We start from the raw sequence: 13,019 nt of genomic DNA on the forward strand, positions 1-13,019 counted from the left end.
GCCACCATATCAAGCTAATTTTCGTATTTTTAGTAGAGACGAGTTTCACTCGAACTCCTGACCTTGTGATCTGCTTGCCTTGGCCTCTGAAAGTGTTGGGATTACAGGCATGAGCCACCATGCCTGGCCAATGATTCATTTTTAACAAAGGTCCTAGAAGTGTAAAAGTGAACCAAGAACAGCATTGGGTCCTATCAAGATGGGCCACCAATACATCACATCCTAGACAGCTCTTGAATTTGGAATCCCATCATTTCTCTTGGCACCAGGGAGGTCAGTTTTGTGACAGCAGCTCCCATCATCAACCCCAGCTACAGACAAATCACCCTGAGACACCTGAGCCTCCCTCACCTTAATAAGGTGAGGCATCTATTGCAGGGAGGATCCTCTGGTCCTTTAGGTCCTCTTGTCTCATGTAGCAAATTTATTCTAGGATTCTGCTACGGGCTGAATTTTGCCTCCCCCTCCCCAAATTCATATGTTGAAGGCCTGACTTCTAGTATGATGGTATTTGGCGATGGGGCCATTAGGGAAGGTAGTTAGGCTTAGATGATGAGGTTATTAGGGTGGGGCTCTCACGATGGAATTGGTGCCCTTACAGGAAGAGGAAGAGACACCAGAACTCCCTGTCATGTGAGGGTGGAAGAGTGTCCTCACCAGGACCTGGGCATGCTGGTGCCCTCTTGCCAGCCTCCAGCACTGCCATGAATTTCTGGTGTTTAAGCTGCCCAGTGTATGGATATGTTGTTATGGCAGCCTGAGCCAACCAAGACAAGTTCCCTCCCTCAAGAGCTTCCTGATCCCTTCCTCATTACCGCACCTTCTAGAATTTCCACTTCCTTTACTCTAGGCCATTGTCATGCCCAAGCTCCGAGGAGCCATGTCAGTAGATGATTAGGACCTGTTCCGGGTCTCCTTCCTAGAGCACAATCCAGAGTCCTGGGGGAAGGTGTCCATACCAGTGCCCTCTCCAGCTTACATCCATCCTGTCCCTGATGATCCAGAGCTACATGTTGCTCTGATGGCAGCTGGCTTGGGGTTGTGGTTTCAATTGTGTCCTCCCAAAGATATGCTCAAGTCCTAATCTTCAGTACCTGTAAGTGTGACCTAGGTTGGAAATAGGGGTTTTGCAGATATAATTAAGATGTAAGTTAAGATGAGGTCACACTGGAGTAGGATGGGCCCTTAATCCAGTATGGCTGGTGTCCATGTAAGAGGAGAATGCCATGTGAAGGGCACAGATGCAGAAGGACATCATGTGATGGTGGAGTGAGTTTGGAGGGACGTGTCTGCAGGTCAAGGAAGGGTGGTTGCTGGTGACACCAGAAGCGAGGAGAGGGATGTGGAACAGGTTCTCCCCTGGAGTCTTCAGAGGGAGCACGGCCTTCCTCGCACCTTGATACCACACTTGCAGCCTCTGGAAGTGTGAGGGAATACATTTCCATTGTTTTAAGCCCCGCAGTGTGTGGTCCTTTGTTTCAGTGGCCCTAGGACACTCCTGGGGTGGAGACTGTGCTTCTCCACTGGGCCAGGACGAATGGGGCAGTGGAGGCACAGCTTTGAGGAGGAGGGCGAGGCTGGGTCCTGCTCCAGGAGAGGCTATTACTTGTTCTCCAGGGGAGAGGCAGCTGTTCCACTTTCTCCTGGCAGGAATAAGGAGAAAACAGAATAGCTTTTCCTCCCTCAGCCCTGCTTTACCATCTGGAAAGTGCAGGGAGATTGGGTGGGGGTGGGGTCCCCATTTCTCAGACTTGTCTATCCAAATCTCCCCATCCTGGACCCCATGTCCCACTGTCCCATGTGGACTCTGACTCTGACCTGGGCAGCCCATTGCTGTCCCTTGTCTCCTTCCAGCCTTCTGCACAGACTGCTCCATGGCTACAGGATGTGAGAGCCTCTTTCTTTTTCTTTTCTTTTTTTTTTTTTTTGAGACGGAGAGTCTCACTCTGTCGCCCAGGCTGGAGTGCAGTGGCGCAATCTGGGCTCACTGCAAGCTCTGCCTCCCGGGTTCACGCCATTCTCCTGCCTCAGCCTCCCCAGTAGCTGGGACTACAGGTACCCGCCACCATGCCCAACTAATTTTTTTGTCTTTTTTTAGTAGAGACGGGGTTTCACCGTGTTAGCCAGGATGGTCTCGATCTCCTGACCTCGTGATCCGCCTGCCTCAGCCTCCCAAAGTGCTGGGATTACAGGCGTGAGCCACCGCACCTGGCCAAGAGCCTCTTTCAAAGCCCCTTAATGACCTTCTGGTATTCAGTTTGTCTCAGTTGGCGGTTGGCTGTCCTGAGCCCGCTGTTTCATTTATGCAAAGTGTTCATGTTGTGAATGGAAGCCAGACCCCTTACTATCCTCATCTTTATCATTGCCCTACACCAGGCACTGGCAACTGCAGCTTCGAGCCGAATCTGGGCAGCTATATAATTTGCAGGGCCCAGTGCAAAATCAAACTGTGGGTCCCCTTATTCAAAGGCAGGAAGAAAGTACCATGGAGGGTACTAAAATACTAAGCTTCTTCCTTTCTTCCACACTCTCTCTTTTGACCTATCATAGTGTTTTTTGTTTGCTCTTTACTGTCATTCTGAGTAAAGAAAAGTTAAAACATTAATTGTTAATGTAAAACAAAAATTAAAAACATTATGAGCGTGTGTACCATTCATCTTTGTATTATGAACGGATAGTTTTAAATGCAAATAGAAGAGCATTTACTGGGATGCAGAATCACTGAAATCACATGATTCCACACAAGTAAACAATATTTGTAGTTCACACATGCATATGCGTTTCATTCTTACAAGAACCGTGGAAACTGCCCAAAGCTAACTTCATTGTTTTCATTTCACTTCCTGCTCCATGCCCGTTCTACCAACACTCTCTATCTTCAGTATAACCAGGAGCAAAGGACTAACGGAAAAGGAGCCATGGGCTGCCCTCTCTTCTTCCTTCTAGCCCAACATTTTCAGAGTAAGTAATTGGCTAGCACATGTATGATAATACGAGTAGCATGGGGAAGAAAGTGTCTGATACATTTCCTTGGTTGCTTGTGTTTCTCAGAACACCATGTGATATGGTTTGGCTGTGTCCCCACCCAAGTCTCATCTTGAATTGTAATTCCCACAGTTCCCATGTGTTTTGGGAGGAACCTGGTGGGAGTAATTGAATCATGGGGGCGGGCTTTCCTGTGCTGTTCTAGTGATAGTGAATAAGTCTCATGAGATCTGGATCTGATGGTTTTAAAAACTGGAGTTTCCCTGCACAAGCTTTCTCTTTGCCTCCAAACCATCTAAGATGTAACTTGCTTCTTCTTGCCTTCTGCCGTGATTGTGAGGCCTCCCCAGCCATGCGGAACTGTAAGTCCATTAAACCTCTTTCTTTTGTAAATTGCCCAGTCTTGGGTATGTCTTTAGCAGCAGCGTAAAAATGGACTAATACACCATGGTATTCTTTCTGTATTTGAACCAAGTTCTGGTCCCAAAGGAAAGTAGGACCTCTTGGGCTGTCAGAACCCTACTTTCTCGGTCATAGATGGAATGTGCTTACCTTGTATATCCCATTGGGTCTTGCTGGACTCCATGCATTGTGGGCCTTCGGAATGCAATGGGGCACCACAAGCACTCTATATGCAAATTGGGCTGCAAGGAACATGCTGTGCTCATCTCTGCTCCTGACATGCTCATTGTCCTATTGGATTTCACCTGCAAAACACAAGTTCAAAGGTAAGATTATGAGTTTCCTGATGGCGACAGCAGAGCATGATAGCAAACTCAGGTCTTTCTAAGCATGGGGTTCTGTGCCACTGCACAGGTTCATGCCCATAAAGCGCTCCTGATCTAAGTGGTACTTGAGAGGTGTTAGTATCACCTGTTCCAGGCACTGCTGAATAGAGCAGGAGTTCCAGACAGAGTCCTGCTCTTTTACTATGAAATCACAGTGCAGTTGGGGGATGTGAGTTTATGTATTCAATAATTCATTTCAGTAGCATTTTCCATGCTAAGTCCTGTACATTAGATATATCAAATATGCGGGATCTGCAGTGAGAGTCCATGCTCTGAGATGTGTGTGAACGTGCATGCGTTAGATGTGTGAAGGGCTTGAATGGCTCGAATCCAATACAAAGCAGCAATAATGAAATAGACTACACGTTGATGTGGGAACCCGGGAGAAGGGTAGACTGGCCGTCAAGAGAGTCAGGGATGAGCTCACAGGAGCATGACGCTTGTGCTCGGTCTCAAAGAATGAGTAAATGTCTTCAGGGACTCTCCAAGGCGTGAATCCCGTCCAAAGGCCTCAGCCACCCACCTCCGCCGCCACCTCTGCTACCATCCTGCCTCAAACATCATGCTCCACAGCCAGGCCTTCCCCTGGCTCCCTGCACTGCCCACTGGGGGCCTCCCTCATGGCCAGGGTAAACGGCCCATCTTTCTACCTGGCCACGCTGGCCATGCTTCCAGGCCTCTGCTCTCGCTGGTCCTCTGCCCGAGAGCCCTTCCCTTCAGACATTCGCATGGCTTGCTCCCCGCTCCTTTCAGATCACTTGCAGATGTCACCTCTGAATGCTCCATCTAAAATACCACCCTACTTGCTGCTGGGGCCCCTTCTCTTTCCCCCACTCTGCCTTATGTGTCTTCACAGCACAGATTTGCACCTGACATTAATTATTTGATTATTATCTTTTTAAAAAAATTATTTATTTTTTGACACTGGGTCTCCCTCTGCCACCCAGCCTGGAGTGCAGTGGTGTAAACACAGCTCACTGCAGCCTCAACTTCCTGGGCTCAAGCAATCCTCCTGCCCCAGCTGTCAAGTAGCTGTGACCACATGCACATGCCACCACACCTGGCTAATTTTTGAATTTTTTGTAGAGATGGGGTCCCACCGTGTTGCCCAGGCTGGTCTTGAACTCCTGGACTCATATGATCCTCCTGCCTCTTGCTCCCAAAGTGCAGGGATTACAGACGTGAGCCACTGTGCCCTGCCTGTTTGATTATTATCTACTCCATGAGAATGGGGATGTTGTTTTGTTCCTGCTTGATGCCCAGTACCTAGAATAATGCCTGGCACATAGTAGGTGCTTACTAAATATTTGAATTATGAAATGAGTGTTTTGTGTCTGTTTCTACTAAAATGTAAATTCTTTGAAAGCAAGCACCATGTTCTTCATCTCTGCATCTATCCTGTTTAGCACAGAGCCTGGCACAGAGGAGATGCTTCATAAACATTACCTGATCTCTTCAAATGGCAACATAACATTCCACTAAGTGAATGCTGTTAACCATTCCCCTACTACTAGACATTTAGAGTTTTTTTTCTAGTTTTAAATTAAAAATAATACAGTGATAATCTTAGGTTTCTTATTTTTCATGGGTGTTTATTTATTTAAAATAGATTCTCAGAAGTGGCATGACTGAGTCAATATAATAAATACAATATTGCCAAAATTGCTTTCCAAAAGGGTTGGAGAGGATTGAAAATGTGGAAAATCCCATTTTACCCTTGCCATCTTAAAATGTTAGTGCTAGATAACAAACAAGCAGAAACAAAAACAAAACAACAACAAAAAGTACTGTGTTGACGGTATTGGTCAGCCCGGGCTGCTAAAACAAAATACCATGGACTAGGCAGCTTGAACAACAGAAATTTATTTCTCACAGTTCTGGAAGCTGGAAGTCCAAGATCAAGATGTGGGCAGATTCTCTCCTGGCTCTCCTTAGGGCTCTTCTTCTGGCTTGCAGACATCCTCAACATGTTGGGGAGAGAGGGAGAGAGAGTGGGAGAGAAAAGGAGAGAGAGAGAGAGAGATGTGGAGATGTGGTCTCTCTTCATGTAAGGGCACTAATCCCACCCTGGGGCCCCACCCTCATGACCTCATGTAAACCTAATTACCTCCTAAAAGCCCTACCTTCAAACAATATCACTTTGGGGATTAGGGCTTCACCATATGAATTTTGGAGGACACAGACATTCAGTCCATAACAGTAACCAAGAAAAGTTTCTGGAAGGCAACAGCATGACCAGATTCATTTTGTGTGCATTATGGGTTGAATTATTTCCCCCTCCCTTTTTTTTTTTTTGACATGGAGGCTCGCTCTGACGCCCAGGCTGGAGTGCAATGGCACAATCTCGACTCACTGCAACCCCTGCCTCCTGGGCTGAAGCAATTTTCCTGCCTCAGCCTCTCCAGTAGCTGAGGCCACATGCGGGTGCCACCACGCCCAGCTAATTTTTGCATTTTTAGTAGAGACAGGGTTTCACTGTGTTGGCCAGGCTGGTCTCGTACATCTGACCTCAAGTGATCTGCCCCGCCTTGGCCTCTCAAAGTGCTGGGATTACAGGTGTGAGCCACCACCCCCACCCCCCAACAAATTTATATGTTGAGGTCCCAAACCTCAGTACCTCATAATGTAACCATATTCAAAGATGAGGCCTTTAGAGAGGTGATGAAGCTAAAAAGAAGCTGTTAGGGTGGGGCCCCAATGTAAGAGGACTGGCGTCCTTATGAGAAGGGGAAGACACCAGGATGGGCACACACAGAGGAAAGGCGTGTGAGGACACAGTGAGAACGTGACCACCTGCACACCACAGAGAGGCCTTAGGAGAAACCAGTACCACTGACACCTTGATCTTGGGCCTCCAGCCTCCAGGACTGTGAGAAAATAAATGTCTGTTGTTGAAGCCATCCAGTCTGTGGCGTCTTGTTATGGCAGCCTGAGTGGATTCATGGTGGGTCAATTGCTGATGTTTTGGAGAGTGAACAGCTCATAGGACACGGTGAACCAGCTGCAGCTTCCTTCGGGCTGCGTGGAGGCTGCCGGCACCACCCCACAGGATTCTTCTCTGTGTGGATGCTCCTGGGGGTTTGCTGAACGCTGTGGGCCCCAGGAGGTACTAACTCTTTTTGCTGGCGGGAGAAGGCGTCCCTCCAGGGGCTTGGATTGGCCTTTATCTTTCCAGAAATATTTGCTGAGCCCGAGTCATGTGCTATGTGTTAGGTGATGGGGCTACAAGGCAAGTAAGGCAGGGTCCCCAAGGCTTAGACCAGCGGGGATGCCTGTAAGAAACAAATCACTACACTCATGCTAGAGTCAGTGTTTTGGGAAATTTAACGTAGGGTTCCTGGACATTGCAAGTATGTGTCCTTTTTAATTTGTATTTTATTATAATATACAGACAACTGGGTTTGGGAATCATATTACTCCTGTTTTTTTTTTTTTTTTTTGAGACGAAGTCTCACTCTGTCTCTCAGGCTGGAGTGCAGTGGTGCCATCTTGGCTCACTGCAAACTCTGCCTCCTGGGTTCAAGTGATTCTCCCACCTCAGCCTCCTGAGTAGCTAGGATTACAGGCACCCGCCATTATGCCTGGCTAATTTTTGTATTTTTGTAGAGACGGAGTTTCACCATGTTGACCAGGCTGGTCTTGAACTCCTGACCTCAGGTGATCCGCCTGCCTCGGCCTTGCAAAGTGCTGGGATTACAGGCATGAGCCACCATGTCCGGCCACTCCTAGTATTTTTAAAAAATATTGTGGGTGTTTTAGTATTTTATATTTACTTTTTGTTAGGAAAAAAGGTACATGTTTGTGTGGGAACATAGAGGCCCAATGGGAAGGGGGCAGAGAAGGAGATGAGGTGTGACCCCATCACAGAAGGGGTGACACCTAGGCTCCGGTGAGTTTTTGTTCTTGTTACATTCTCTTCCTTTTTAGAAAGGTAAGAAAATATTGACACAATAATATATCTACATGGTTCAAAATTCCAGTGGCACAGAAACAATGGTATCTCCTCTCACTCTTGTCCCCAGCCACCCATGTCCCCTCCTCGCAAGCAATTGATGTTCCCAGTTTCTTGTAGATCTTTCTAGAGTTTTTTCATGACATAAATGCAAACATGTCATCTCCCCTTTTCTTCCCCTCTACAAACAGTAGCAGGCTATGGCGGAAACACATTTTCCTTGCTTGCTTTTCTGTTTCTTCTTGGCAATCTTTCCCTATCAGTACATAAAGAGCATCCCCATTTGTAAAGGGTTGCCTGGCATTCAATTGTACGGCTGTATGTAATTTATTTAACAGTCCCCAGATGAGGGACAATTAGGTTGCTTCTAATGTTTTATAATTTAAAATGATGTGGCTACAGAATAACCTTGCAGACATCATTTCACAATTGTGTTTATAGACCTCTTAGTTTCTAGAAGTGTAATTCCTGGGTCAAAGTTATGTGCTTTTAGCATTTCAAAAGTTCTTGCCAGGTGCCTCCTTAGAGGTTGTATCAGTGTACACTCCTACCAACAACGCAGAAACATGCCTGTTCCCCATACACCCTGAATCCCTAGTGTGGTATCAGACTTTGTAGTTTTTAGCATCTTAAAGGAGTTTACCTGGAGGTCTTGGAGAATGAGGCTGGAGGAGGAGAGGGAGCTGGGGTTGCAGCTGTTGTGAATGAGGCCAGAAAGTCAGGGAAACTGGAATGGGAGGCAGGGAACTCTAGGCTCTCCAGTGAGCCGTGCTTACTCTCTGCTGCAATAACAACACTAGCCATCGTTTATGAAACATTTGCTATGGGTCAGGCACCACTCTAAGGCTGTAAGCCTGGAGTCAGACTCTTGTTCTGAAAAGGGCCAGATTGTACATGTTTGTTATTCTATAGGCAAAATAGTCTCTGTTGGCAACCACTCAGCTCTGCCTTTTTAACAGGAAAGCAGCCACAGACACCAAAGAAATGAACCAGAGTGGCTGTGTTCCAAGGAAACTTTATTTATGGATGCTGAAATTTGATTTTCATATAATTTTTGCATGCCACAAAATATTTTTTGAAGCAACAGCAAATATTTATTGAACACTTACTCTGTGCCATTAAAAAACAACAACAATTGTTTCATTTACTTTTCCCCAAGTCCCATGAGGGCCCATTTCCCATCCCCCCAACCAAGCCATTGAGAAGGGTAAAATCCATTCGTAGCCTGTGGGGCTGTGCCCCGTGACAGACCACGGTTTGCTGATTCCTGCTGTAGAGGTTCTCATTTAGACTGGATAAAGAAAATATGGTACACGTATACCCTGGAATACTATGCAGCCATAAAAAAGAATGAGATCATGTCCTTTGCAGCAACATAGATGGGGCTGAAGACCATTATCCTAAGTGAACTAACAAAGGAACAGAAAACCAAATACTGGATGTTCTCACTTAGAAGTGGGAGCTAAACATCTTCACATGGATACAAAGAAGGGAACAACAGACACCAGGTTCTACTGGAGGGTGGAGGGAGGGAAGAGGGTGAGGATCAGAAAACTACCTATTGAGTACTATGCTTATTATTTGGTGACAAGATAGTCTGTGCACCCAACCCCCACGATATGCAATTTACCCATATAACAAATATGCACATGTACCCCAAACCTACAATAAAAGTTAAAAAAAAATGAAGGTTCTCATTTAATCCTCACAATTGTAGGACCTTCTATTTTATTCTTTTTGAGGTAGGGTCTCGTTCTGTGGCCCAGGCTGGAATGCAGTGCTGTGATGATGGGTCCCTGCAGCCCCAACCTCCCAGGCTCAAGCAATCCTCCCTCCTCAGCCTCCCAAGTAGCTGGGACCACAGGCACATGCCACCACACTCGGTTAATCTAAAAAAATTTTTTTTGTAGAGGTTGGGGTCTCGCCATGTTGCCCAGGCTGGTTTCAAACTCCTGAGCTCAAGCAATCCTCCAGCCTCAGCCTGGAGGCTGGAATTACTGGTGTGAACCACTGCGCCCCGCTGTAGGGCTTTTACATCCCCATTTAACAAATGGCAAAACAGAGTCCTAGGCAGGTCCAAGAGAAAAGAGGTCTCAGTTAGCACTCAAGGAGGCGGCCACACTCACGGCTCCAGCTGGACCATCAGTAAGGAGGACCGAAGGACTCCCACCCCGCTGCGGAGCAGCCCTTTCCGCCCCGCTCCCAGAGCACTGCGGCCTCCTCCTCACTTGCTTCCTGCAGGTGAGAGGTGGTGGACAGGACCTGTGAGGGTCTGGGCCAGCCTCCTGGCTTCATAGGTAAGGAATGGGGTTTTGTGTGGTGTGTGCGTCTCAGCCTTCACGGAGCATTCCTAACAGTTCTCTACTTCGCCACATGCAGTGAGGTCCACTTATTTTCTCCTGATCTGGGCTATTTCCTTCCCTTCCCTTACTCAGCCCTCCCTCTTACTTGGGGAGCCAAGGTCTCCAGGGAAAGCTATTTATTTCGTGGCCAGAGAGGCCGCAGCCCTAGCAATCCCAGGAACCCCCACATCTGCGCAGGCCAGCCAGGCTGGAGAAGCTGGAATTTCACAGCCTGGAGGTGATCAGGCCCAGTCAGGCGGCTTCACTCTTTTCTCTTCAGTCCCTGCCCTGGATGCAGGGACCAAGTAGCCCCCCTGCGTGGGGACTGTATTAATTCCCTAGGGCTGCCATACAGGGTATTACAAATGGAGTGGCTTGAAACAACAGCAGTTTATTCTTGGACAGTTCTGGAGACCAGAAGTCAGAAGTGGAGGTGCCAGTCAGGCCTGCTTCCTCGGAGACGCTGGGTAGAGCTCTTCCTTGCCTCCTCCCGGCTTCTGGTGTGGCCTTGCTCCTTGGTGCTTTTGGCTTACAGACATTCGCTCCAGTCTCTGCCTCCATCTTCCCATGATATTCTTTCTGTGTTTGTGTCTGTCTCCTTTCCTCTTCTTACAAGGACATCAGTGATATTGGATAAGGGCCCACCCTAATGACCTCATCTTGAGCTCATTATATCTGCAAAGACCCTGTTTCCAGATAAGGTCCCGTTCACAGGTACCAGAGGTTAGGGTTTCAATGTATCTTTTTAGGTGACCCATTCAATCCAAAGCAGGGACCTTGCCTCTTGGCGAACATGCACAGTGAAGACCACCCTTGAATACCAGAGTTCGTCTCTTAAGTGGGCTATAATATGAAAAATATGGGAAGGCATTCATGTGCGAAAGCCAGAATAGGGAGAAGCCACCTGGATTTGAACCCCAACTTCTTGACCTACAGTCCAGTGCCCTAAGCTGTGGCCCCAACACATCAGCAGTTCTTATGGGTCCTTTTCTCCAGTGGGGTCACACTCAGGGCCCATGTTGACTATTAATTCTGCAAGGAGGTCCTGCTGTACTGTAGGCCTTGGGCCTCGATGCCTCTCTAAGATCCTCCCCCATTGTCTCACCCAACACTGTGCAATGACCATCCTTGAACTTTCTTGTCAAGGCTGCACCTGAATCCATTGCTCTTGCTGCCATTTTCACATGGAATTCCTTCCCACCTGCCTTGTTTAAGTAAGCCCTTCAGAACGCAAAGCCCATTTTGAATAGGGAACATGCCATTACCCTAGTTTTGGTCAGGTGTGTAATTTACACCCTCTCCTCTGTATTCCAAGAGCTATTATCATGAATTGCCATGACAGGCATTTCCACTAAACTTTTAGCTCCTGAGGCCGGGAATTGTGTGGTTGTTAGAGTCTGGGACACAGGAGGCACCTACTAGTGCTCATTGAATTAATGCATGAAACTCATCAAGGAATCTGGCTGTGCAGGGCTTCCCATGGCTCTGTTTAGCAGAGGCAGTAGGTTGCTAGTCTTTCTTAATATGTTCCACTCTGCTGAGAATACTGAGAGGCCCCTAGGGCTGCAGTGATGGTCCCCCATGGCCATGTCCTGGCTACTCCTGACTTCTTTTAGAGAACCACTTTTCTCCTCATACTATAGACATATATTCTGAGTGGAGGCAGATATATTCTTAGAAGACCTTACTCCTGAAATGGTTATACCCCTTACATATCTTAATCCTTGGTGGCAGTGGCTGCTCATGGATAGGCACAGAACCCAAGCCAAACCAACCACAGTCCTTCTCTAGAATTTTTTAGACTCAAGTCTTTTTCTCTCTGGCAATCAAAGTGTGGAGCTATGAACCTACAAATGTTGGAGGCAGGGTCTCAGCTGCGTGGAGAGTTGGGTTTGAGACATTAAAACTAACTTAAGAGGGAACCAAAGAATAAAGCTACAGGGAGAGAGTCCTGAGAACATTTGAGTTCCTGGAAGTCAGCTTCTTGTCTGATATTTACATTATATTTTATTTTCTATCAGCTGAAATTTAATCTCTGCCACTTACCATCATGTTAATACAACACGATTCCAAAGCTGAAATAATATTAATAGGAAACATAATGGCAGCAGGGGGCATAGCTCAGTGGTAGAGCATTTGACTGCAGATCAAGAGGTCCCTGGTTCAAATCCAGGTGCCCCCTAGTTTTCTTCACTTCTAGAATGCATCTTTTGGGAGACAGTATTTGAGACAAAAAAGGAGATGAAGGAGAAACAATGAAAGAAGCTTAAGAAGAGGGAGAAATGGATGCTGGGTAAAAAGAATCAACAACTGTCCACCAGAGGGAGTGATATGGTCAGGCTGAAATCTGAAAAAAAATACCTAGTTTGGCCCAGCAATGTCTGAGTTGGAGGAGAAGACAGGAAGAGATGCTAGACCACTGCAATAATGATGTGCTGAGCAGAGCTGGACTGAGTATTGTTCCTTCTCAACAATTAGCCTCACTGAAGGTCTAGTCCCAAAGCCCTTGCAATCTCTTGATATGGTTTGGTTCTGTGTTGTCACCCAAATCTCTTGTTGAATTGTAATCCCCAGTGTTGGGGTAGGGATCTAGTGGGGGGTGATTATGGGGCAGATTTTTCCCTTGCTGTTCTTGTGATAGCGAGTGAGTTCTCATGAGATCTGGTTGTTTGAGAGTGTGTAGCACTTCCCCCTTTACTCTCTTTCTTTCCTGCCGGCCATGTGAATATGTGCTTGCTTCTCACACCCCTTCTGCCATGATTGTAAGTTTCCTGAGGCCTTCCCAGAAGAAGCCTGTACATCCCACAGAACTGTGAGCCAATTACACCTATTTTCTTTATAAATTACCCAGTCTCAGGTATGTCTTTATAGCAGTGTGAGAACAAACAAATACACTTCTCTTTCCCTTCCCCCATGCTGTGGACAAAGATATCAACAAGAAAATTTTTCTTT

The 13,019-nt window shown here is 46.9% G+C and overlaps 1 non-coding gene across 1 annotated transcript; it reads left to right on the top strand.

Moving 5' to 3' along the window:
* The first annotated feature begins 12,177 nt into the window (after positions 1-12,177).
* TRC-GCA1-1 (tRNA-Cys (anticodon GCA) 1-1) lies at positions 12,178-12,249 on the top strand. The gene has a single exon. It is a non-coding gene; the product is annotated as a tRNA-Cys (tRNA).
* Positions 12,250-13,019: the final 770 nt, after the last annotated feature.

This window comes from Homo sapiens, chromosome 7 (genome assembly GCF_000001405.40).
Source record: "Homo sapiens chromosome 7, GRCh38.p14 Primary Assembly".
Lineage (NCBI taxonomy): Eukaryota > Metazoa > Chordata > Mammalia > Primates > Hominidae > Homo > Homo sapiens.